Source organism: Homo sapiens, chromosome 17 (assembly GCF_000001405.40).
Source record: "Homo sapiens chromosome 17, GRCh38.p14 Primary Assembly".
NCBI lineage: Eukaryota > Metazoa > Chordata > Mammalia > Primates > Hominidae > Homo > Homo sapiens.
Window position 1 is genome coordinate 39209217 of NC_000017.11, and position 24200 is coordinate 39233416.

A 24200-nucleotide genomic window follows, 5' to 3' on the forward strand; every position below is an offset into this window, starting at 1 on the left:
GCAGGGGAGGGAAAGAGCTGAAAGGAGAAGAAAAAGCCGCGGTTTCCAAGACTGGCTTGATCACTCATTTTGCTGTGTGACCCTGGACAAGTCATTAGCCCACTCCAGGCCTCAGTTTCCCCATGTATAAAGAGGGCAGTGTTGAGCTGGGTAATCTGTGTGACCTTAGATAAGCCACCTAACCTGGCTGTGCCTCAGTTCTTCCCTGTGAGAGGAGGACACCCCCACTCGCCTCACAGGATCCTGGAAAGGATTAAGTAACATCAAGTTCCTGGCACGGTTCCCTGGGCACAGTAGGTGCCTATTTATGAGTTCCCTCTCTTTAAGCATTCACACTGGTCTTGTGACCCCTTCTTCCACTCCCAGGGCTGGGGATCCTAGGAGGGGGAGGGTCACCCTCCTTTCCCGGCTCTCTCGACCCCCAACCTCCAGGGCCTTCCTCAAGTCAAGGAGCCCAAAGAAAGCTCAAGGAGGGGACCCAAGGTCTGGGCCCACCTGGCCTACCTGGCTCAGGGGGCGGGGGCTGTAAACCGGAACCGGTGGAGGAGGGGGCGCTCATCAGGAAAGGCAGCCCCCACTCTGCATCCGGGCAGCGCCAGCAGTGCCCCAGCACCCCCGCAGCCCGCCTCTCCTTGGCGCCCCGCTCCCCTCCGCCTATAAATAGCACAGGACGTGCTCGCCGTGGCGATGACGCGGCTGGGCAGGCGGAGGGGAAGGAGGCAGCTCTGCCAGAGCGGTGGGCGGCGAGCGCGGCGGCGGGAGGGGTGCGGCCCCTCCATGCTGGGCTCCGATGACAGGGGCGACTGAGTCATCCCGGGGACCCACGGGCCACGACTGTCCCCGCCGCCAGCGTTTCTGTCTCCGGCTTGGGGGACTGCGGGGACGAGGCTGACCTCGGATGGGTACTGAGCCCTCCCAGACCCCCGGCACGCCCGGTCTCGGAGGGCACCTCTGGGTGGGCAAGATCGGCCTCGACGGCCCTGGCGCGCAGGAGCATGTCCGCCCCTGCGCGACTCAGGTGCACATGGAGGCGGAAAGTGACCGCAGCCCCAAGCCGTTTCCCTCCAGCGTCCCCAGACCTCCTCCCACTTTCCTCAGGTCCCCTTTTGGCTCTCCCCAGACCCCACCCTCCTCGGGCTGCTGGAGGAAAGGGATGAGGCCTGGGACCCCTGCCATGTTGCCGCCTGCCCAGCACCCCTCCTTTCAGAGACGGAGGAATTCTTCCACCCTCAGCCTTGCCCCTCTCAGCATCCCCAGACCCCACTCCCCACTTCCCTGCCCCTTTCCTTCCTCTGTCCCAGTGAGAGACACAGAGCAGATGGGCTGGGACAAGAAACATTTAATTAGGGGTCTGGGGAATCAGCAAGGCCCCAGACCCATCATGCAGCCTCATGTACAGTGGGCATTGGGCCCGCCCCTGGGATATTGCTGGGGGGGGGGGCCTCATGGCAGCAAACAGGGCAGTGTGGCTTGAGACCCCGCTTTGTGGGGGAGAAGTGGGGCAGGGGCCTTTGGGTACGAGGGTCTGTGTTTCTCCCACTGCATGGGAGGGTGTAACTGTGCCCAGGATGGGGGTGGCATGGGCTGGCACAATCAAGGGCATAAGAGGAGGATCTGAGCTTGGGGGAGGGAGGTTGGCACCGAGAAAAGCAGCTGTATTAAGAGAGGGGTCCTCTCTGTGTATGCCCACCCCACCCCATTTCCTGGTGGCCAAAACAGAACATTCCACCTTCCTTGTCTGTCTTCCACCCCCTCTTTTTCCCAGGGCTCTGTGTCCAGAACAAGGGAGCAGATAAAGCCAGCAAAGGGGCTCCTGCAGCACCTGCCCTGTCCCCTGCAGAGCCTGGAGAGAAGCAGGAGAAAGGTCAGCCCAGAGGGTTGGGTTCCTGGGGCGGCCGGGCAAAGCCTGGGACAGGAACTGACAGTCACAGGCTCCCCTGGCGGGTGGTTCCTGTGTGACCGGGGGTCCTGACAGTGAAATGGGTTTGCTTTGACCAAGCACGGGCCAGGATTTTGTTCTCAGTTGGGTTTCCGTGTGTCCAGGCAGCTCTTGGGTTTCCTTTTCTTTCTTTCTTTTTTTTTTTTTGAGACGGAGTCTCGCTCTGTTGCCCAGGCTGGGGTGCAATGGTGCAATCTCGGCTCACTGAAACCTCCGCCTCCCGGGTTCAAGTGATTCTCTTGCCTCAGCCTCTGGAGTAGCTGGCATTACAGGCAGACCCCCATCATGCCTGGCTAAGTTTCGTACTTTTAGTAGAGACGGGGTTTCACCATGTTGGCCAGGCTGGTCTTGAACTCCTGACCTCAGGTGATCTGCCCACCTCAGCCTCCCAAAGTGCTGGGATTACAGGCATGAGCCACCACACCTGGCCAGCTCTTGGGTTTTCTACTTGAACAGATAGTCTCTGATTTGTTACACCTTCCAGGGACCTCAGCCTTCCCCTCATCTGTCCGCCCAGGTTTCAAGTAACGGGAGAGATTCCTGCAAAACTTTCCTGAGAATTGACGGAATGACAGAGGTGGAGACCAGGAGGTGGACTCAGGACCTTCCTATGGTCCTGGGTCCCCTCCCCACCAAGGGTGGAGGGCCGAGGACACAAAAAGGCCTGCTCCCAAGACCCCACTTGCAAAGGAGCAGATGCACGGTCACACACACATAGACCCAAGCAGAGGCTCTGTGGGGAGAGGGGTGTGCCAGGCATGCGCAGGTGGTGTGGGCAGGGGAAGGCTGGGAGAAGCAGCAAATAAATTCCCCAGGAATCTTCCCCAGGGCTGGACTCAGCCCAGCAAGTAGACTGGGGTGCCTGGGCGTTGGGTGGACCTACCTGTAGCTTCCTCATTCCCTCCCACCCCACCCCATCCCCGCCAAGTCCCAGAGGATCAACCCACTCAGGGCACCCCACCCAAGAAATAAAATCTTCCCCAGTACAAAAGGCTCCTAAGCCACGGTAAGTGGCACCTAGGAGAGGGACAGAGGGAGGAAGGGTATGGAGTGGACAAGGGGGCCTGATCCCCTCCCTGGCCAGAAGCAAGGTCCAGGCATGGGCAAGGGTGTCATCTGGGTTCCCTTGGCTCCTCTCAGATCTCAGTCAGGGCGTCGACTGGCACCAGGCCCCGCTTCTTGCCACTGCTGACGCGGATGAAGCCGTCAGCATCCTTGCTTCTGCCCACGCCCACGCAGATCTGAGCCAGAGAGACATGGAGCTGAGGCCTGGCATGGCCTGCAGCCCTGGCCCTGAGTCCTGCCCATGGCCCCCAGGGGACCCACCCTGGGGGATGATGGGACCAGTGTCAGATGTGGATGGAGCCCTTTGCTGGAGTGATGGGACCAGATCCCAGGAGTGTAGAGGCCTCAGCAGCAAGACCAGCACGTCAGCAGACACCCAGCAGCACTTCAGGGCTGACCTTGGAGATTAGCCGCTGTACTGCCCTGCCTCACCCCCATCACAGAGGAGGTGGAGGGAAAAGGACTTGCCTCAAATTACACAAAAAGCCAGAGCTAGCATTCAAACCTGAGCTTTAGACTCTGAATCCAGTGCTCCTGCGCTAACCCAAGCTCCCTCTAATGTCATTCAGTCTCCTGTCTCTGTTGGTCACCAGCCCAAATTCCCCAGCAGGGGCTGGTAGGAGGGCCCTGCAACCCTTTCTTTCTAACCCGCTTTCCCCTCAACTGCCAAGATCAGCCTCCTCCTGCAGAGCATTTACCCCCGCACCGCAGCCTGTCTCCCCCGCCCACTCCCTCCCTCCGCCATAGGGCCTGGGCTGGGCCTCAGGCACTCACCTGGTTCTCCTTGAGGCTCATGTAACCCTGTTCCTTGTTCCCGGAGAAGGGTTGGCAGCAGCGCCAAACATTCTCGCCTGGCCTCACCCGTTGCACAAAATTAGCTGGGAAGAAGCCAACCCGGTCGCCGATCTTGCCCTGGGGATGAGGTTGGCAATGAACACCCGCGCCACACCCCACCCCTGCTGCCCACCACTGCTTTCTCCAGACCCGGTTCCCACTCAGCACCAATGCCATCATCCTCCAGATCTAGGGCTCTCCGGATTCCAGCCCCCAGCCAGGTGGCTTCTGGGCCAGGAATAGCATAAGGTGAGCAGAGGGACAAAGCTGAGGCAAGGAGAGTCAAAACTGAGAGGATGTCCCAAGGGTTGGTCCTAGTTTTGGCTGGGACCAGTGGTTGGAGGAGAGGTTGTCTTTGGGGCCTGGAGAGAAGGTGGGGGCAGTGCCCATTGGGGGTGGGGGCTGCTGGGGTGCCTACCAGTGTCCCTCCACTCCCCACCCTGCCAAGTCACCTTCCACCAGTCCTCGTTAGAGTCATCCACCAGCATGATCCGATCTCCAGGCCTGGGGAGGACAGAGCTAGGGTTGCATATGGAGCAGGGAGTAGTGCCCCTCCCCATCCTAGCAGACCCTGGGCACCTGGGGGACACTGCAGTCCTCAGCTGGGAGAGACGATTCTTTTTTTTTTTTTTTTTTTTTTAAGATAGACTCTCACTCTGTCACCCAGGCTGGAGTGCAGAGGCACGATCTTGGCTCACTGCAACCTCCACCTTCCGGGTTCAAGCCATTCTCCTGCCTCAGCCTCCCGAGTAACTGGGTTTACAGGCACCTGCCACCATGCCTGGCTAATTTTTGTATTTTTAGTACAGATGGGGTTTCACTATGTTGGCCAGGCTGGTCTCGAACTCCTGACCTCAAGTGATCTGCCAGCCTCAGCCTCCCAAAGTGCTGGGATTACAAGGGTGAGCCACCGCGCCCCGCTGGGAGAGGATTCTTGATGCCCTCAGAGGACACCATGTGACCACAGGTACAGCAGGCACTCGCTGGGCAGCCCAGTCAGAGGGCGGGAGACACGACATTAGCATGAGTCACTCTTAGACCCTGGGCAGTTCCAGCTCCTGTCTGGGCTCAGCAGCCTCAAGCATGCAAGAAGGTTCCTGAAGGCCCCCCTCACACTGTGTTTCAAGGTCTGGGAGCGCAGAGCTGCCCAGCGGGGCCAGGTCACAAAGAGGACTTACTGCAGAGCCAGATCATTGTTCTCCTGGGGCAGAAACTTGTAGAGTGCAACGTAGGAGTACATGGGCCCCACATCCTTCCGCAGGGTGGCTTTGGGGAGCTGCGGGAGAATCTCTGGGTCGGTGACCGGAAAGCAGCACCCTCACTCCCCCCACTCTCCACTCGCTCTGAGTGTGCTACCCTGGGGGCTGTGAGGGGACACAGTGAGTCCTAGGTCAACGGCAGGGAGAAGTGAGACCCTCGTACATGCTATGCTCACCCACCCCAAAGCGCACTGGGACGGGAATGGAGAGGGGAGCCCCCTTCTGCCTGCTGTACCCTGGGGCTGCCTGCCTTTGGGAGAGAAGAAATGGGTGCAATGGGCAGTGGGCTGGGGGTGGGAGGGTAACTCCTCCTGCCTCCCATGCCCTCTCATCCTGGCATTGCCCATCCCTGAGGATAAGTGAGGAAGCAGTGAATCCCCACGCACCATGCTCTTGCCCCCCTATGAATCAATGGCAAGGAGAAATTACACCCGCTTCCCACCCTGACCTTCCGGGCCAATGCCAGTACAGGCTCACCTGCTGTCCAGGACTCTTCTCCTCTGGTCCTGGCCCTTCACTCTCTGCTGGGGCTGTGAATACTGGAGATGCTAGGGGCAGGAGAGGGAAAGGGTGAGAGGCAGCAGGGAGCACCCTCCATTGTACCCCATTCCTGCCCTTGATGCCCACCACCACTCACCACTGTCACCAGGCCCCTCCTCAGAGCTGCGGATGCTGCCTTCCCCATCCTCGGTCAGCTCATCCCGCTCACTCTAGGGACAGAGAGAGGAGAGGGCTCAGCCCCCGAGCCCACTGTCATGCTCAGACACCCCTCCCCAAAAGACCCCCCCTTTTTGCCCACCATACCAGGCTCCTTGTCGGGGACTCAGAGGTGCTGCTGAAACTGGAGCGGTTCATCAGTGCCAGGGAGGTGCCATAGCGCAGGGTCTCGTAGACAGGGTCCACCTTCCCACTGTCCCCTGCAGATTATCCACCCTCAAGGCCTGGCTCTGCCTCAAAGCCCTGCATCTCTAGTCCCGGCTCAGCATGCCCCAGGCTGAGCTTCCCAGCTGCCCCCTCACCTGTCCCTCCCAGGTCTTCCTCATCCCAGAGATGGCTCTGGGTCCTCCCATGGTGCCCATGCAGAAACTTGGAGCATCCTTGACTCCTCACTGTCCTCACTGCCCACAGCCACTCTGCCACCTAGTCCTCCCTCCTAGCATCCCTACAACCTATCCACATGTCTCCATCACCACTGCTAGCAGTCTAATTCACATCACCACACTCTCTTGGCAACTGTCATGGCCTTTCAACTGGTCTCCCTGCTTCCACTCTAGCCCTGCCAGTCCACACAGCAGCCAGAAAGCTTTTGTAGAAACACACAAATTACCCTTAGAAGAAAGTCCAAAAGGCTACCCTAAAATGGACCCCAAGGCCTCGTACCCATGGTCTCGTTTTTTCTTTTTTTTTCGAGACGGAGTCTCGCTCTGCCGCCCAGGCTGGAGTACAATGGCACGATCCTGGCTTACTGCAACCTCCGCCTCCTGGGTTCAAGCAATTCTCCTGCCTCAGCTGGGATTACAGGAGCCTGACACCACACCCAGCTAATTTTTTTGTATTTTTAGTAGAGACGGGGTTTCACCATGTTGGTCAGGCTTGTCTCAAACTCCTGACACTGTGATCCGCCCGCCTCGGCCTCCCAAAGTGCTGAGATTACAGGTGTGAGCCACCACACTTGGCACTTTGCCCTTTCTTTAACTCCCTGTCCTTCCTTTCTCAGGCTTCCCTCTGCCCCACACCAGTCTTTCCAGATCCTAAATGGATGAACCCCTCATGCCTCATCCTTCACATCTCTGGGAAGTCTTCCCTGATTTTGCAGATGAAGACAGCGAGCTTTTTCTTTTCTCTTAATTTAGAGATAGGGTCTCACCATGTTGCCCAGGCTGGACTCCAACTCCTGGGCTCAAGCAATCCTCCTGCCTCAGCCTCCCAAGTAGCTGGGATTACAGGTATGAGCCACCACACCCAGCTTTCAGCACACATTCTATGCTCTATTCCTTATCTTCCCCACTTAAGGCGCTCATGCTGATGGTGATTGATTGATGATTTGCATGACTGTCCATTTCAGTCCTATCTCCTTTACTAGACAATAAATTCCACCTTCTTCACTACTGTGTCTCAGAGTCCAGCACTGTGCCTGGCACTTAGTATGTGCTTAATAAAGTGCTTGTTGAAGGAATGATGAGTGAATGAATGAATGAACCCCAAATTCAGGACAGGAACATCCAGAGAAGGGAAATGGTAGGAACTGTCTGTGCCAGTGTGACTCAGGCACCCATCTCAGAAATGTTGATTTCTTTCTTTTTTTTTGAGATGGAGTCTCACTCTGTAGCCCAGGCTGGAGTGCAGTGGCGTGATCTTGGCTCACTGCAACCTCCGCCTCCTGGGTTCAAGCAATTGAGAGACGGGGTTTCACTGTGTTGGCCAGGCTGGTCAGGGATGTTGATTTCTCATCCCACCACAATGGGAGCAGGGACTGCGGCCAGGGGGGGCACTCACCAGTGGGTGGGGACTCTTTGCTTGTGGCACAGACTGGTGGCGGCTCATGCACCAGGAGAGGGGAACTGAAGTTGCGGCGGAAGGAGGTGGACTATGGCAAGAGAGGGCAGAGAGGTTTTGAGGAGGTCATGGCCTATGGAGAACTTGGTCCTTCCCAAGCCCAGGGCCCACCCCACAGGAAGGAGCAGCCCTGAGGGATACTCATTCTCCCATGTGACAGTACTGGCAGCACTCAGCTGGCCATCTCTGCCTGGGTCCCCGCTCACCGTCTTGCCTGGGCATTGCTGGTGGGAGATCTCCTCAGAGCACCAGAGGTGGACGCTGACTTTGCACATCTTACATCGCAAGCCCTGTTTGGAGTTTCCTAGGAAGAATTTGGGTTCAGCAATTGAGGACACCCCCGTGGGCAACAGGCAAAGGAGGGGCACATTAGGGGATGAGGAGAGCAGGGGTTGGGCATTCTCATGCCAGCCTTGAGGCCCAGCACCTACCCCTCACACAGTCAGGGTATGAGGGAGCACGGAAGCCAGAGTCGTTAGTAAACATGGCAGTGACACTGAGGCAGTGACACTGAGTATACCCCCACCCTTGGTGGTGCTCCTCTCTCTGCCTTGGGTAAGAGGCACAGTTGGGGGTGGGTGCAATGGCTCACATCTGTAATCCCAGCACTTTGGGAGGCTGAGGTGGATGGATTGCTTGAGCCCAGGGTTTGACCAGCCTGAGCAACATGGCAAAACCCCATCTCTACAAAAAATATTTTAAAATTAGCTGGGCATGGTAGTGTGTGCCTGCAGTCCCAGCTACTACAGAGGCTGAGGCAGGAGGATCCCTTGAGCCAGGGAAGTGGAGGTTGCAGTGAACCAAGATTGCATCACTGCACTCCAGCCTGGGAGACAGAGCAAGACTCTGTCTCAAAAAAAAAAAGAGGCACAGAGGCACAATTAGTATTGGGGCTCCTGAACAGCAAGAGCCCAATAATATTGGGCGCAACATGAGCCCACTCCCCAGTACCCACGCTGGCCCCTCCCCGTGGCCGCCTCAGTGCCCAGGCACCTACCTACGATGAGCTGGTGGCACAGCTCACAAGGGCTAGCTCGCTTGAAGACATGTTCCTGGAAGCTGTGCAGCCTCACTGGTTTGAGCGCTGCCAGGGGGCGTGGGACTGGGCATGGGGAGGGGGATGGGGTAGCCAGGCCCCTGTCCGAGGCTGTGGGTGGTGGGGAGGGAGGGGGCAGTGGGGTTGGGGGCGTCAGCAGCACCTCGGTGGGGCACTTGAGCTCAGAGCCCGAGCGAAGGAAGAAGTTCTCCAAGCTCTTACTTCGGAGGATGGTCTTGAGGGAGAGGGAGCGCTTGAATCGCTGGAGCTGGGAGAAAAAGAGGGAGCTGTGAGTGGGAGCCTAGAGGGGGCTGGCCAGGGCGGGCTTCCCTTCAGGGTGTCTCTGGCGGTAGGGGCGGCAGCAGCAGCAGCAGCAGCAGCGTGGGGGCTGAGGGCCAGAGCGAAATGAAACAGCAACAGAGAGGCTCCCCAGGTCCCGACGACACTTCGCAATCTCAGGTGCCACAAAAGCCAGGTGGTTGACCTCCATGGAGAAAGGAGTTCTGGCCAGGTGGGCAGCAATCAAGAGCCGTGGGGACTGTGGCAAACTGGATGGCCAGGGAGTAGCTGCAGGTCTCCTCAAGCCAATTGAGGCTGTTGCCAGGTTTTCTAGTTTTTCAAAAGAAATCTAGACTTTTATGTGAAATCGGATAGAAACAAGTTTAAGTGGTTTAATTCCATTTTTCTTTGAAGAAATGGTAGTATACTATATTTCCTGTGCCTTGCTTTTTTTCATAAACAGTAAATCTTGGAAATCATTCCATACCCATACATAAATAGATTCATCATTCTTTTTTATGGCTACAAAGTATTTTGTTGTATGGGTGTACCATTTACTCAAGTTTAGAAAAAAAAAAATAGGCACGGTATGGTGGCTCCTGCCTATAATCTCAGCACTCTGAGAGGCTGAGGCGGGAGGGAATCGCTTGAGCCAAGCAGTTGGAGACCAGCCTGGGCAACGTAGTATCCACCTGTGTTCTCGAACAGGCTGGTGGGGGGTGAGGAGTGGTCGTCCTGGACCCTCATCCTTGGGACTGATTCTCCCCGACAGAAAGTCTCTCTAGCCCTCCCCTCCCTCCCATTGACTCGTCACCTCACAGCCCTTAGTTCAGGCCCTGATGCCCCAGTCTGCTTCAAGGCCACAGCCTCCCCTCCAGCCCCCTGCTTCCACCTGTCCTCCATACAGCTGTTGCGGGGGTGATGCCTGATCCTGCTAAAAACTCTTCCTAGCTCCTCGGGACACCGTCCAAGGCTCTCGCCCCAGCCACGAGACTCTCCTTGCAACTTGGCCAAACCTGTCCTTCCAACCTGTGCCTTTGCAGCCCAGAAACTCATTTCTCAATTCATTGAGAATTGAGAATCCTCAATTCTCAAACTCATCCATGCTTTTATGCCTCTGAGCTTTTGACATGTTTGTCCTCTTCTCTGCCTCACTCAGTTCATACCCTCTTTATCCTGCCAATATGCTTCCACTGGTCCTTCCTCCTCCAGGAACTCTCTTCTGCAGGAATTCTGTCTCATGACCCACTCCCTCCTCTGGTGTCCACTGCATCCAGCCCAACTTCCACCACAGCTCCACTCGGGTGATGCTTGTTATTTATTTCTCACTCCCCCAGGAGATTGTGAGCCCCTTGGGGACGGACACAGTTGCTGGCTTCAAATCCCCACGCAGGCTCTCAACACATAGTAGGTGCTCAATCAGCAGCCTTTGGTGAATACATGAGCCAGCGGCTGGACTCTCCTTGAAGCCTACATTCTGGAGGGCAGGGTCGATTCTGCGGTGAGGCCAGAGCTATTTCCACCTCTCATTCAAACACACCCTACTGAGTCTTCCCAGAGAGAGGTCTGGAAACCTCTTGACCCAGAGCCTTGGCCGTCTCCCTTCCCGTTGAGAGGCGGCTTACCCCTGCCCACTCCTTTCTATTAGAGACAGAAACAGGGGCCAGCAGCCTGGCTCCAGGCAGAGGGACTTGGCCAGGGTTCCCAGCTGGCACGCTGGGTAGCCTACGTGCCATGGCTGCCTGCCTGGCCACCCTGCCAAGGGGATGGAAGTGGTGGCCCCACCAGCCTCCGGGAGGCCAGCAGGCAGCAAGACAGAGGGGGAAGCAGAGGGGATGTTTGGGCACAAGGCAGGCTCTGGTGTGCCAGTTGGGAGGCCAAAGCCCTGGGGTGTCTGGCACACTGAAGGGCTCAGTGCCTTCCAAACCCAGCTTCCTGGATAGCACTGTGGGCTTCTTTGTGTATCTATGAGAAGCAAGGCCCCAGGCCCCAGATGCCTGGGCCTTGGAGCATAGGTAGAAGGCTGGAGAGACAATTAATGAGAACACAAAACTCAGCCCAGGTCAGGCTCTGGGCCAGCCAGGACCAAGTGTGGCTCTGGGGGCTTGGATGGGCCCCAAGAGGCAGGTGAACCGTCCACTGTTCTGTCCAGGGACCTCAGGCATGGAGCACACAGGGTCGCCGGAGGATGTGCTGGGGCTGGGGGCAAAACTAAACCTACTGCCTGAAGGCAAATCACCCCACTTCTTCTCTCTGAGCCTCAGTTTCCCCACATCCAAGAGGGAAGCCTAGATACTCTTTTTTTTTTTTGATGGAGTCTCACTCTGTCACCCAGGCTGGAGTGCAGTGGCACGATCTCAGCTCACTGCAACCTCCACCTCCTGGGTTCAAGTGATTCTCCTGCCTCAGCCTCCCAAGTAGCTGGGACTACAGGCTCCTGCCACCATGCCCGGCTAATTTTGTATTTTTAATAGAGGCGGGGTTTCACTGTGTTAGCCATGATGGTCTTGATCTCCTGACCTCGTGATTTGCCCGCCTCGGCCTCCCAAAGTGTTGGGATTACAGGCGTGAGCCACTGCACCCGGCCTATCATTTTTATTTTTTATTTTACTTATTTATTTATTTATTTTGAGACGGAGTTTCACTCTGTCGCCCAGGCTGGAGTGCAGTGGTGCAATCTTGGCTCACTGCAAGCTCCGCCTCCCGGGTACACGCCATTCTCCTGCCTCAGCCTCCCGAGTAGCTAGGACTACAGGCGCCCGCCACCACGCCTGGCTAATTTTTTGTATTTTTAGTAGAGACGGGGTTTCACCGTGTTAGGCAGGATGGTCTCGATCTCCTGACCTCGTGATCCGCCTGTTTCGGCCTCCCAAAGTGCTAGGATTACAGGCGTGAGCCACCATGCCTGCCCTCTTGTTTTTATTTTTTTGAGACGGAGTCTTGCTTTGTTGCCCAGGCTGGAGTGCAGTGGCACGGTCTCAGCTCACTGTAACCTCCACCTCCCAGGTTCAAGCGATTCTCCTGCCTCAGCCTCCCAAGTAGATGGGATTACAGGCGCCTGTCACCACACCTGGCTAATTTTTTGTATTTTTTTTTAGTAGAGATGGGGTTTCACCGTATTGGCTAGGCTGCTCTCGAACTCCTGACCTCATGATCCGCCCACCTTGGCCTCCCAAAGTGCTGGGATTACAGGCGTCAGCCACCGCGCCTGGCCAAGACTGGACACTCTCTAACCAATAAAAGGCTCTAGGTCCAAATATCCCCAGAAACTTACATCTCTGAGGGGCTGTCATGGTCAGAACATTGGAATTGAGCTAGCACTTTATATGCAGCATCTCATTAATCCTGATGCTGCCCTTGGAAGTAGTGATAATTACTGTCCCACTTTTCAGATGAGGAACTGAGGCTTATAAGGGTTAAATCACTTACCCAGGAGTCCTCAGCTGGTAAACAGCAGAGCCAGGACTTGAACCAGCGGCTTCGGCTGCTGAGCCCAAAGCACCAGGAGCATCCTGCTGTGCTGAGCCCTGCATGGGCCTCACCCTCGCCTCTCAGCTGGGCCCTGCCTGGGCCTCACCCTCGCCTCTCAGCTGGGCCCTGCCTGGGCCATCACCCTCACCTCTCAGCTGGGCCAGGGGCTTGTCCACAAGGTCAATCAGAGAGTTTAGGGTGAGAAGGGACCTGGAAGACTGGCCACCTAGAGCAGTCCCCAACTCATCACCCTGCGATGGCCTGGCCACATCCCGTCTCAAGAGTTGGTCACCTCTTGTGATGGGAAGCAAGCAGTCTCTTGGGACAGTCATTCCATCTTTGGGCAGCTCCAATGGCTGCAAAGTGCTTCCCCATATAGAGCTGAAACCTGCCTCCCTGGGATTTTCGCCTATCAGCCCTCCTTCCTCCCTTGGCTCCAGAAAGGGCTACTCCCTCTCATACACTTCAGCCCTTCAAATATTTGAAGACACCATCAGTCATGTTCCCCCCATCCCCAGGCCCTTGTTTCCATAGTAATCCTCATAGGAGGAGGTTCCAAGTCTCCCTACCCTCCAGGCTGTGTCCTTTCCTGGTACCCCTTGGTCTCAGTGCCAAGAGCCACCTCTGCTAGGTACCGGAGGCCTCTGGAACAGAATGTTCCCGGGTACCAGGGCAGCCCCGACTCTGCCGGCCGACTCCCTGGCTTGGCTGTGGGCCCCAGATCCCAGGGGGGTGGAGAAGCGAGAAGGAATGACATGCCACCTGGGGTGGCTGGCAGAGATCAGACTGTGGCTACAGGTCTGGGTTGGGGCATCTCTGCCAAATGACTTGATGCCTGACCACTTCAGAGACATCGGGCTTGGCTACCCAAACCACATTTTGGCTCAGCCAGGCCAGGTATTCCGGCTCCTGGGGCTCCTCATTCCTGGAGAGGACCTTTGCCCATCTCTTCTCCCCACTATACTTTTGGTGCCCTCACTTCCCTGGGACCCATTCTCTGGCATGGGGAGAAGCTGCCATGTACCTTGGCAAGTGGGCCTGCCTGGTCACTCTTCCCTCCCAACGCATCCAGAGTTTGTCCAGCTAGGAGCCTGGACCACAAAGTCTGTTCTTCTGAATCCCCTCCCAGAGACAGGGCCTGGCCTGCCTGTTTCCTCCCCACCTCCCCATATCCTGGACGGCCCCTTATTTCCTCAATTCCCCACGGCGTCTCCTGAAAGGGCATGAGGCATCTGGCAGTGGGTGGTGGCAGACGTGGCACAAGCTGACTCACAGCAGAGATGGCATGGGGTGGTCCTCCCAGGGGTGGCAACAAAGGGTGATGGGCAGGCCTTATGTGATAAGAAGGGAAGGAGACCAAGAGAGGAGGAGGACTCGCTAGGAAGGTTGCTGGGTGGCTTGGGTGCAGGGCTGATTCAGCCTGGGGGCAAGCAGGAGGCTGGCCAGTGATTCCCAGGGGGCACCAACACTGATGAATAAGCCTGGAATGTTGGCATCACTGCCTGAAGGGCATTGGCCCCCTCTGTTGTACCTGCCTCACACTGAGCTTGGTGGGCGGCACCCAACTGTACTCTTCCATCTCCACCCACAGTCTGGAGACAGGAGCTTCTTTGGGCCAGGTTGAGGTGCAGGATGGAAGGAGGCTAGCAGGGGTCCTGAGTTCTCTCTCTGCCCACCTCTGCCCTGCTGAATACCCCCGACCCAACCCACAGCCCAGTCTGTGTTAGTGCAGAATCCTTCACAAGAGTGATGTATAGGGGAGGGGCGGAGGGCCGGGGCTCCAGCTGGCCTGACACAGAAGGGCCGGATCAGGGGTGTAACCCCTCCCCTCCCCTACTCCTTGAATCTCCAAGCTCAGACCCAGAGGTGACAACATTGGAGGGTCCCTGGCCTGGGAAGAGGGAGAGGTACAGACCTGTGGCCCTTGACCTTCCCTCCCCACACAGCTGAGCAGGCAGCTTGCTGGAGTACTGAGGCAGCACTACCCCACACTCCTGCCCGCCTTCCAGCACTCCCACATAGGAGGAGGCTGGAGAGGACAGGCCTTGGTGTGGGAAACAGGGCAGGGCCTGGGAGGCCCCCAAGCCCCTGGAGGCAAGCAGGGGGACTGTGTATGTCTACCCAGGTGACTAGAGGGCAACCGAAATCAGGGGCATTGGAACTCAGGGGAGGTTCAGCTCCTAGACCTTCTGCTTGACAGAAGTTGTCACAAATATTCCAAGCAATATCCTCCCACCCAAACATCTTAGTCCTTTCCCAGGAGAGACTGAGACTTGGCTCTCTAAAGGGGAGTCAGCTCTGGCCTCACAGACCAGAGTCTCATTTTTAGAAGGGGGCAAGAGAGAGTCAGGTGTGCATGTGAAGACTTGAATGTGGAGACCTGCTGGGTCCCCTGGTGCAGGATGGGGGCTCCCTGGGGTGCCTCTGCCAGACTCCACCCTGACCCTACGGCCTCCTCCTCCGGTCACTCCCTTGATGACCTTGACCTTGAATTAACCTCAGCTCCTGCGGGATGGTCAAGATGGAAGAAGGAGGAAGGGGGACAGTGGAAAGAAGCCTAGCGAACCCAGGACGCCTCCGGAGCCCAGGCTCCCATCATTTCTGGTCCTCACTGTCCCCTTTCGCCTCTGGAGAACAGGAGCAGGATGGGAACAAAATACCGGGTGAAGGGGGAGGGAGGAGGTCTTGGCCTGAAGTCTGGGAGGTGGCAGGGCGCGCCCTTGGCACAGCCCTTTCTATCCCAACCCCAGGCCCGCTCAGGTTGATCCCGCAGAAACAGAACTTCTCGCGGGCCAGTCGCCAGCACCTAGAACTTGGGAAGGGAGCAGACGGATTAGAGGTCGGGGGAGTGCTGAGTGTGAGCGGCGGCCTCCCCACACCCCTTTCAGCGCCAGGAGTCTGGGCTCCGCCTGCCTTCGCGGGGAGTAATTTATTCATGGTGACTCCCTCAGGAGTAACAATCATCCATAATTAGGGTTAATGATGACATTCATTAATTACGATGACTTCTCTTTTTGCTTCTACCCGCTCCCCCTCCTCTGGTCCCGCTCCCGTGGTGGGGCGCGGGGCTGCCTGTCTTTCTGGTCTGGAGCCACAACCGCAGGCCCCCGTCCTCGCCCGTGACCGACGGCCGGCGCTGCTGCAGGCCCCCTCGCGGACTCCGCAGCTGCGCACCCCCGGCCGCGGCCTCGCGTCCCCGAGCCCAACAGGGCTAGGAGCGGGGAATGCAGGACTGCGGAGGGGCAGGGAGAGACGCCCTGAGACGCGGAGATAAACACCCGGAGACGCCGGGAGAGACGGGGAGAGACGCACACAGAGACACCAAGACACAGACACGCAGGTTGTAGAGACAAATTCAGAGACACGAGCGAGGATAGAGGCGCGGACTGAGCCCGGGACTGGGACCCGGCGGCCGCTGGAGGGTGCGCCTCGCACGCACAGCCGGGCGCGTACCCCGCCCGCACCGCTCCACGCGCGCCCTCCGGCCTCGCTGCGCCCATCTCTCCAACGAAGACCAGTGGCCGCCTCCCCAGAAGGTCGCGATGGCGCGCGCGGGCGTGCGGTGCCGGTGTGATCGGGGGCTCCTTGTGGCCCCTCGTCGCCAACCCACTCCTACCCCCGGGAGCGGCGCGGAGCCTCAGTGGTCACGCGGGCCTCGCGACCGCGACCCTAGGACGCCCGGGCCCACAGGAGGACCCCGCCGGGAAGAGGGCGCCCGGGCCCGGGGCGCGGACAGGCCTTGCGCCCCCCAAGTTACCTTGGTTTCCTGGAGGGCGGAGACGGTCCCTGGGGGGCTGTGGGTGGCCGCGTCATCCGGTTCGTTCTCCTTCTCGCTCATCTCGGTCATGGTTCGGGGAGAGGGGAGGAGAGGGTGCCGAGATCCGACGGCAGGCCCACCGCGGGCAGGCTGCGGGTGGCGGGCGTCTCCGGGACTCTGAAGCCGTTCTCCAGAGGCTGCCCCCAGTTAGCCCCCGGCACGGCAGCCCCCAACCCGCGGGAGCGGGCAGAGAAAGTTGCCGGGGTGGCGGGCGAGGGGAGGCCACCACGCTGAGCCGCAGGAGCGGGACGACCCCGGGCGCGAGGACCGAGGGTCTGCAGAGGATGCTGCTCGCAGCGCGGGGAGGAGGGAAGTGGGGCCGCGGGGATGAGCCGAGGGAGGGAGCCAAGGAGCTGTCCGTGTCCAGCCGGCTCCGCCGTCCGCTGCGCCCGCCCCCCATCCCCTCCCCTCCCCCGCCGGCCCCAGCCCGGCACCCGGCGGCCCCTCCGCCCAGTCCTCGCCGCCCAACTTTGATTTAGGAGGTCGCCTGGTCCCGCCCCCTGCCCTACGCCGCTCCCCCGCGCAGCCCTGCAAATCAGGCTCTCAGCTATTGGCTGCCTCGGTGGCCAGGAGGGCGAACTGGGCGGAGTCTTGGGGGGCTCGACACGATGGGGCGGGGCTTGGCGGGGAAAGAAGCGGAGGAGGGAGTTTCACACTGAAAAACCCGGGATGGAGGGGCGTGACCAGATTGAGGGAAGCTTGGGGAGATCATAGTAGCGTCTGGATGGGTTGCAGGGAATAGAAATAGGTTGGGGCCGCAGCAAGATAGCGGAGAGTGAGATCGAAGCTAGGACTTCCAAAGAGCGAAGATTGATAGATGCCAGAGGTTGGTGAAGGAAGAATGGGGACCCATCTGTGCCATTAATTGGATGCCTTTATACCCTGAAAAGGCTCTCTCCAAATATACACACAACTGGACTATGGTGTATGTGTCAAAGGCCAGGCCGGACAATTCCTCCTTGTGATGGAAAGCCGGATGACTCTATCCCCTTCCAGTCTTGGCGTCTGAACTTCAGCAGAGATGGGGGCTCAGTCCTCACACCCAAAGTCCCCAAACTTCTCTGAGACACGCTCCCCTCCTAAAGATCCTACCACAACTGGAGTTAGATCAGGGGATAATACAGAGAGGTGGGGGAAGAGGTCCTCACCATCACCTTCCAAGGTGCCCCTCTCTCCACAATAACCTTCTATTTTTTATTTTTTTATTTTTTTATTTAGAGACAGGGTTTCACTCTTTCACCCAGGCTGGAGTGCAGTGGTGCGATCATAACTCACTGCAGTCTCAAACTCCTAGGCTCAAGCAATCCTCCCACCTCAGCCTCTCTAGTTGCTGGGACCACAGGCATACGCCACCATGCCTGGCTAATTTTTAAAATTTATTGGTAGAGACAAGTCTTGCTATGTTACACAGGATGATCTCCAACTCCTGGGCTCAAGCGATCTTCTCACTTTGGCCTCCCAACGTATTGGGATTACAGGCGTGAGCCACTGTGCCCGTTCAAGATATTTCCAATATTTCTTCTTCTCCTTCTCTTCTTCTTCTTTTTTTTTTTTTTTTTTTTTTTTTTTTTTTGGAGACAGGATCTTGCTCTATTGGCCAGGCTGTAGTGCAGTGGCTTGATCACACCTCACTGTAGCCTGGACCTCCTGGGCTCAACCCTCCCAAGTAGCTGGGACCACAGGCACATGCCACTGCACCCAGCTAATTTTAAAATTTTTTGTAGAGATGGAGTCTCGCTATGTTGCCCAGGCTAGTCTTAAACTCCTAGGCTCAAGTGACCCTCCTGCCTCAGCCTCCCAAAGTGCTGGGATTACAGGTGTGAACCACCACACCTGACCAAGATACCTCTTCTAATGCATGTTGATTATCTGGGACCCATTTTCTCAGGTCCCCCTCCCTCACCTCCAGCCCTCTTTCCTTCTGCCCCTTCTGGCTCTGACCAGCAGATCTGGCTTCCTCTCTTGGTCTGCCCAAGAAAAGGGAGATGCACTGGTGGCTGAGAGAACCTTTCCCTGGTGTGGGTGGAGAGACTTCTGGGTTTAAGTCTCCCTCCTCCTCTGCTGTGGGTGGTAAGATTGTGGGTGGGGGGTGCCACATGGGGGGCCTGAGGTGCTGAAGGGGGCCCTTATGCTAGCCTGAAAGTTGAGGGGTGGGGTGAACACCTCCACCCCCCACTCACCTCCCCCCATGCACACAGCCATTCATAGGATCTCTGCCCTCCCAAGCACGAGCTCACCATTGGAGCCCTGCTCAGGTTACCCTGTCCAGGAATAGAGATTTATTTGCCAGTGGCAGAAGTAGGACAAGGGCACAGTGAGGGTTCATGGTTGTAGGGGCTCTGACTTCGAGATTTCCTGAGGAAGGTGGGATGGAGCCTGAGTGCCATCAAATCAGTCTCCCCAAAGGCCTGTTCATGGCCAACCTTCCCCCATCTCCCACTGGACTGTCCTTCTCACTCCTGCCCAGCCCAGGCCAGTCCAGCCTTCCCTCCCTGGGCAGCTCAGATGCTGGGATGCTTGCAGCATTGAGACAGCAACATCAGGCCCTCCACTTATCCTGGGCTGGAACACACAGGGCCTTCTTCTGAGTTTGGAGATCTTCTGGGGGAGGTGCCCCTGTCTCCTCCCAAAGAGCAGGGGCTTTGGGTTCCTTAGGGGCCAGTACCTCTTTGGTCACTAATTAAGTGTGTGACCTTGGGCAGATAACTCAATCTTTTAGAGATTTTGTTTGTTTTGAGACGGAGTCTAGCTTTTGTTGCCCAAGTTGGAGTGCAATAGCAGGACCTCGGCTTACCACAACCTCCGCCTCCTGGTTCAAGCGATTCTCATGCCTCAGTCTCCCGAGTAGGTGGGATTACAGGTGCCCGCCACTACATCCAGCTAATTTTTTGTATTTTTAGTAGAGAGAGGTTTCACCATGTTGGCCAGGCTGGTCTGGAACTCCTGACCTCAGGTGATCCACCTGCCTCACCCTCCCAAAGTGCTGGGATTACAGGCATGAGCCACCGTGTCTGGCCTATAGCCTTGGTTTCTTCATCTGAAAAATAGTCATCGTGCCTACCCCACTGCTAGAATGAATGAGATAGTGTAGAGTGGCACTTAGCCCAGACAAGACAGGAAGACAAGACAGGAAAATTTATTTTAAAAAAAAAAGTGTTTATTTTGGTAGGGATGGGGGTCTCACTTTGTTGGCCCAGCCTCATTTTGAACTCCTGACCTCAAGCCATCTTCCTGACTTGGCCTCCCCGATAAAGTGCTGGGATTACAGGCACACGCCACCACGTCTAGTCAAGGAAAGTCCATTATTTTTCTTTTTTTTTTTTTTGAGACGGAGTCTCGCTCTGTCGCCCAGGCTGGAGTGCAGTGGTGCAATCTCGGCTCACTGCAAGCTCCGCCTCCCGGGTTCACGCCATTCTCCTGCCTCAGCCTCCCAAGTAGCTGGTACTACAGGCGCCTGCCACCACGCCCGGCTAAATTTTTATATTTTTAGTACAGACGGGGTTTCACCGTGTTAGTCAGGATGGTCTTGATCTCCTGACCTCATGATCTGACCGCCTCAGCCTCCCAGAGTGCTGGGATTACAGGCGTGAGCCACCGTGCCCGGCCATTATTTTTCTTTCCCTCCTTTCTTCTGGGAAATTTGTCCCTTCCCAGTGCTTTCTCTGAGGCAGAGAGAAGAAAACCGCTTCCTTCTCTCACTTTCCTTGGCCATTTGGAGCCTGGTATTCTGTGGGGTAACCAACCCAGAAGTGGTGATTCCTGGACAAAGAGATGCTAACTAGATACAGAGAAGAATTCCCAGGGGAACCCGTAGTTCTGGCAACCGAGGAAAGCCAGGGAAGTTGGAGGACTGTGGGGCTCATCTAGTCTGGACATCAGAAGCCTGAGGTGGGGCAAGCATGGCGGAGGCAGGGGGATGGATGCCATGACCTCTCGATGTCCTTCCTGGCCTGCAGCCTTTGTGTTTCAGAGCGGTCTCTCCTGAACTAAGTCTGAGTCATTGCTCTTAGTACTGACAACTCCCACTGCAGTGGATCAGAGACGAGGCGGAAGCAGCCTGGCCAGCCTCTCCTGGGAAGGAAGGAGCATTGCCCCATCTCAGATTCGGAGGGTAGAAACGAGGGGCAGGCAGAGCGAGGGCCAGGTGCTGCCGGGGGGATGAATGGCAGCCACACTCTGGAGGGCTCCCTCAGAAGTGGCAATAGAACTACTGGGGTGCCTCTTGTTGGGAAAGTGGGCAGTGGGCTCTTGGGAGCCCTGGGACAGGGATGACTTCAAATCTGCATGCAGCACAATGTCTAGCACATGAAGAGAGACCAGTCCTCAGCCCAGCTCTGCCTTTTGCTTCCTGTTTTGTGACCTTGGGCAGAGAGCTGTCTATCTCTAAAGGTACTTGAGTTTCCTTCTTGTCAGACTGGCAGAATTGGATTAGATTAGTTTGAAATGAGGAGTTGGATTAAAATGAGGGCAATAATGATACATCTCTTAGCACTCTTTTGAGGATTACATGAGTTAATGTACGTAAAGAGATGGACAGGTTGGGTGAGGTGGCTCATGCCTGTAATCCCAGCACTTGGGGAGGCCAAGGCGGGTGGATCACCTGAGGTCAGGAGTTTGAGACCAGCCTGGCCAACGTGGCAAAACCCCATCTCTACTAAAAATACAAAAAATTAGCCAGATGGGGTGGTGGGCACCTGTAATCCCAGCTATTCGGGAGGCTGAGGCAGGAGAATTGCTTGAACCTGGGAGGCGGAGATTGCAGAGAGCCGAGACTGCACCACTGTACTCCAACCTGGGCAACAAGGGTGAAATTCAATCTCAAAAAATAAAAATAAAAAAATAAAGAGATGGACAGAATAAATGCACAGTAAATGGATGTTATTTTATTCATTTATTTATTTTGAGACAAGGTCTCACACTGCTGCCCAGGCTGGAGTGCAGTAGCACAGTCATGGCTCACTGCAGCCTCTACCTCCCTGGCTCAAGTGATCCTCCCACCTCAGCCTCCCAAGTAACTGGGTCTACAGGCATGTTCCACTGAACTCAGCCTGTTAATTCTCATGTTATTATTAGTTACTATTAATTACTACTAATTATTATTAATAGTAATATTATTATTGGGGATTTTTAACCTTGGACTTGTGAGTGAGCTTCAGGGAGTTCATGAACCACTCGAAGCTGTGTAAAATTATGGAAGATAATAAACATTTTCTGGGCAGAGTTGAGCTTTCAGCTGCTCCTCAGGGCATCTGAGATCCCCAAAAGATTAAGAGCCACTGGCCTATATGACCCCCAGGGACTCTCCTCTCTGAGTGGCTGAGATTCTCTGATGTGAGGAATTGCTTCTCCTCCCATGGTGGTGATCTTTGCATCAACACCTCCAGTCCAAGCCCTTTGCATCTGTGGCCTCTGCCCCATGGGTCACCCAGGACAGAAAACATAAGTGACTGGCCTTTCCCGGCAGCTTTAGAATCAGGGTGTCTAGTGTGGAGGTGCCCAATGTGGTTGGGAGCTGAGTCTGGGTTCCTGTCTCCCAGCTGGGGAAAGGAAGGGGGTCCAAGCCCAGCAGGGCCAGGGATGCAGAGACCACAGTGAGAGGCCTGGCCTTGCCCCAGCGTCCCCTGCCTCCCCCCACCAGCCCACCTGGGGGCCCGAGAGGCAGATACCACTCTAATGAGCTAAGGCTCATGGCAGGCAGCGGTAATTATGATTTTATGGAAATACAGAAGGCTCTTACGCAAGTGCCTGACATACTTCCCGGCTGTGGCATCTGGGACAGCCAGGTCCCCAGGGGCTGGAGAAGGCCCCCCCACACCCCCTGCTGCCTCCAGCCCCTGGAGCTTGGGACACTGGCATGGAGCCACCCTCCCACTGCCCGTGGCACTGTCCCTAACTCGCCCTGGGTGAGCTGTTCCCGCGCTCTGCACCCCAGGCCTCCTGGAGGGGAACAACATGGGCTCTGTGTATGCAATCCCTCACGCCCTCGCTCCTGCTGCCCCCTCTCCCTACCACAAAGCCAGGATCTCTGGGAGAGTTGTTCTGAAGGGATAATGAGGTTATAGCTGTTTCCTTTTCCTCAATGAAGAAAACCCCTCTCTCGAGGAACACGTCCTCTTCTGTTCTGTTTCTTTTCTCCTTGAGGCTGGGGACACGGGGCTGACAGCAGCCATGGTGGGGTGGGGGTGGGGCGTCCTAGCCCTTGGCTGCCCCTCCCCAGCCCTGTGCCAGTTTGTCTACACTGAGCCCCCACCCCTGTGCTTCCAACAGTGTCCTGAAGCCACTGCTCCTGTCCTCTAGTCTATTCCCCTTACCCACCCACAAAGCATCTGTTACCAAGGTAACAGCAAGAGCATAACTTTGGGGTAAGCAAGGGGGTGGAGCCCTGCGGAGGAGGGGCATGGTTGAGGGTTAGAATTTTGGAGAGATGAGCACTGTGGACCCCCGAATTCTTCATGGAGGATCTTTTGCTGGAGAGGAGGCCCCACGCAGGCTGGGGAGGGGCTGTGGCTGAGAGCGTATGGAAAGGAGGGAGGATGAAGTCTGGTCGCAGCTGGATTGGGTGTTAGCGGTGAGGGTGCCCATGGCTTACTGTGTGGGACAAGCGTGAGTGTGGTGATGCCGAGGAGACTTCGAGGCAGAAAGATTGAGCCTGCCTTTAACTGCTCCCTTGGGGTTAACGCCTGGGGAGAGATCCTGTGGCGGGGGAGTCTAGACCCAGCTGAAGCAGCCTGGGGACCTGCGGCTGGCCTGGGCCCACACTGCCCCCTGCAGACTGCACAGAAAGCAGCACCGGGGCAGCCCAGGGGTTCAGGCGGGGCCTTGGAGGGTCTGCATCGGAGACCATCTAAACCATGAGGTCCTACCAAGTGTATGGAATGGTCCTGAGCACCGGGGGCACCTAGTACCTGCATTCGAGGCCCTTCTGTAGATTCTGACCCAGAGAGGGGTAATACAGAGGGCCACATCAAGCTGAGCTAACGGGGGCCATCGAGTGGACTGGAAGGCAGAGGGGACTAGAATATCCTAAGCAGAGGGAACAGCCTAGGCAAAGGCTGGAGGTGTGAAACAGAACAGCCGGTTCCGGAGCTACTGGAAAGCCCAGAGGGAGAGAGATGGTGAGCACCAAAGGCAGGAAAAAGTGAACAAACGGCCTTGAGTGCTGGATCAGGAAGCTAGTTTTCTCTGCACAAAGGGGCTTCTCGAACTCATTCACTGGAGCCCTGAAGAGCAATTCAGAGATACCGTGGGGGGCGGGGCGGGGCGGGGAGTGGGGAGCAAGCAAAGTGGTTCACTCCAAACTTGAGAGGGATTTAAAGACAAGGCTCTATGTTAAACATTGGTGCAAGCCTTGCATTTGACTCCAAGAATATCTGTGTTAGTTTTCCTACCAAAAATATGATTTTTAGCACTAACCATTGTGTGCCATGGATAGCCTGGAATATGACCCATAGTTACCCAGGGACTCCACAGCCCAGCTTGAGGATGGCACTGAGGGTAACAGGAGGCCATGGAGTGTTCTCCATAGAGGAGTAATTGGGTAATTCCTGTGTCTTAGGGAAGTCTCTCTGGCTCCCGAGGACAGCATACTAGACACAGAGGACCAAGTAGTGGGCTCCTAGTATCCTTCTGGTGGCCAAAGCCTTCACAGTGAAAATAGATAGGAAGAGCCACCTCGCCTGGCCCAATATTTGTTTTTAAAAGGCTGGGCATGGCTTATGCCTGTAATGGTAGCACTTCGGGAGGCCGAAGTAGGAGGATCACTTGAGACAAGGAGTTTGAGACTAGACTGGGCAACATAGTGAGAGCCCATCTCTACAGAAAAATTTTGTAGGGCCGGGCGCGGTGGCTCATGCCTGTAATCTTAGCACTTTGGGAGGCTGAGGCCAGCAGATCATGAGGTCGGGAGTTTGAGATCAGCCTGGCCGATATGGTGAAATCCCATCT

The 24200-nt window shown here is 56.6% G+C and overlaps 1 protein-coding gene across 6 annotated transcripts, besides 7 other annotated features; it reads right to left on the reverse strand.

Moving 5' to 3' along the window:
• Nucleotides 15-144: an enhancer, noted in NCBI's record as "active region_12093". NCBI's record gives its function as "activates an Ori minimal core promoter by ATAC-STARR-seq in GM12878 lymphoblastoid cells {active_cell/tissue: GM12878}" and the evidence as "EXISTENCE:reporter gene assay evidence [ECO:0000049][PMID:35858748]".
• Nucleotides 15-725: a biological region, named in NCBI's record as "H3K27ac-H3K4me1 hESC enhancer GRCh37_chr17:37365492-37366158".
• Nucleotides 23-689: an enhancer, noted in NCBI's record as "H3K27ac-H3K4me1 hESC enhancer chr17:37365492-37366158 (GRCh37/hg19 assembly coordinates)". NCBI's record gives its function as "activates a minimal SCP1, AML or CMV promoter by ChIP-STARR-seq in naive H9 embryonic stem cells {active_cell/tissue: H9 hESC(naive)}" and the evidence as "EXISTENCE:reporter gene assay evidence [ECO:0000049][PMID:30033119]".
• Nucleotides 616-725: a silencer, noted in NCBI's record as "silent region_8452". NCBI's record gives its function as "represses an Ori minimal core promoter by ATAC-STARR-seq in GM12878 lymphoblastoid cells {active_cell/tissue: GM12878}" and the evidence as "EXISTENCE:reporter gene assay evidence [ECO:0000049][PMID:35858748]".
• Nucleotides 690-1356: an enhancer, noted in NCBI's record as "H3K27ac-H3K4me1 hESC enhancer chr17:37366159-37366825 (GRCh37/hg19 assembly coordinates)". NCBI's record gives its function as "activates a minimal SCP1, AML or CMV promoter by ChIP-STARR-seq in naive H9 embryonic stem cells {active_cell/tissue: H9 hESC(naive)}" and the evidence as "EXISTENCE:reporter gene assay evidence [ECO:0000049][PMID:30033119]".
• On the reverse strand, nucleotides 1325-16729 carry STAC2 (SH3 and cysteine rich domain 2). 6 transcript variants are annotated; one of them, NM_001351360.2, is made up of 11 exons: nucleotides 16197-16729; nucleotides 8853-8957; nucleotides 7860-7957; nucleotides 7594-7684; nucleotides 5902-6014; nucleotides 5735-5807; nucleotides 5575-5645; nucleotides 5017-5114; nucleotides 4291-4342; nucleotides 3779-3916; nucleotides 1325-3180 (listed from the first exon to the last, which is right to left on the reverse strand). In NM_001351360.2, exons 3-11 carry the CDS (start codon nucleotides 7926-7928, stop codon nucleotides 3076-3078), a joined length of 810 nt encoding a protein of 269 aa, NP_001338289.1. In that variant the 5' UTR covers nucleotides 7929-7957; nucleotides 8853-8957; nucleotides 16197-16729; the 3' UTR covers nucleotides 1325-3075. The 6 variants fall into 6 exon arrangements, with proteins under 6 accessions (NP_001338289.1, NP_945344.1, XP_016880069.1 ...); NM_198993.5 differs by having other exon boundaries at nucleotides 8651-8957; XM_017024580.2 differs by having other exon boundaries at nucleotides 4291-4357; nucleotides 8651-8957.
• Nucleotides 14155-14324: a silencer, noted in NCBI's record as "fragment chr17:37379624-37379793 (GRCh37/hg19 assembly coordinates)". NCBI's record gives its function as "represses an EF-1alpha promoter that drives an FKBP-Casp9 reporter gene in an ReSE screen in HepG2 liver carcinoma cells {active_cell/tissue: HepG2}" and the evidence as "EXISTENCE:reporter gene assay evidence [ECO:0000049][PMID:32094911]".
• Nucleotides 15987-16487: an enhancer, noted in NCBI's record as "H3K4me1 hESC enhancer chr17:37381456-37381956 (GRCh37/hg19 assembly coordinates)". NCBI's record gives its function as "activates a minimal SCP1, AML or CMV promoter by ChIP-STARR-seq in naive H9 embryonic stem cells {active_cell/tissue: H9 hESC(naive)}" and the evidence as "EXISTENCE:reporter gene assay evidence [ECO:0000049][PMID:30033119]".

What these genes read in the sequence shown, in the direction of transcription:
- STAC2 (XM_017024580.2), bottom strand. Translation starts at nt 16,286, where the DNA reads ATGACCGAGATGAGCGAGAAGGAGAACGAACCGGATGACGCGGCCACC. An exon ending in AACAATGATCTGGCTCTGCA is followed by an intron (nt 4,358 to 5,016) that starts GTAAGTCCTCTT and finishes ATGCAACCCTAG; the next exon opens with CTCTGTCCTCCCCAGGCCTG. An exon ending in CTAACGAGGACTGGTGGAAG is followed by an intron (nt 3,917 to 4,290) that starts GTGACTTGGCAG and finishes CCTCATCCCCAG; the next exon opens with GGCAAGATCGGCGACCGGGT.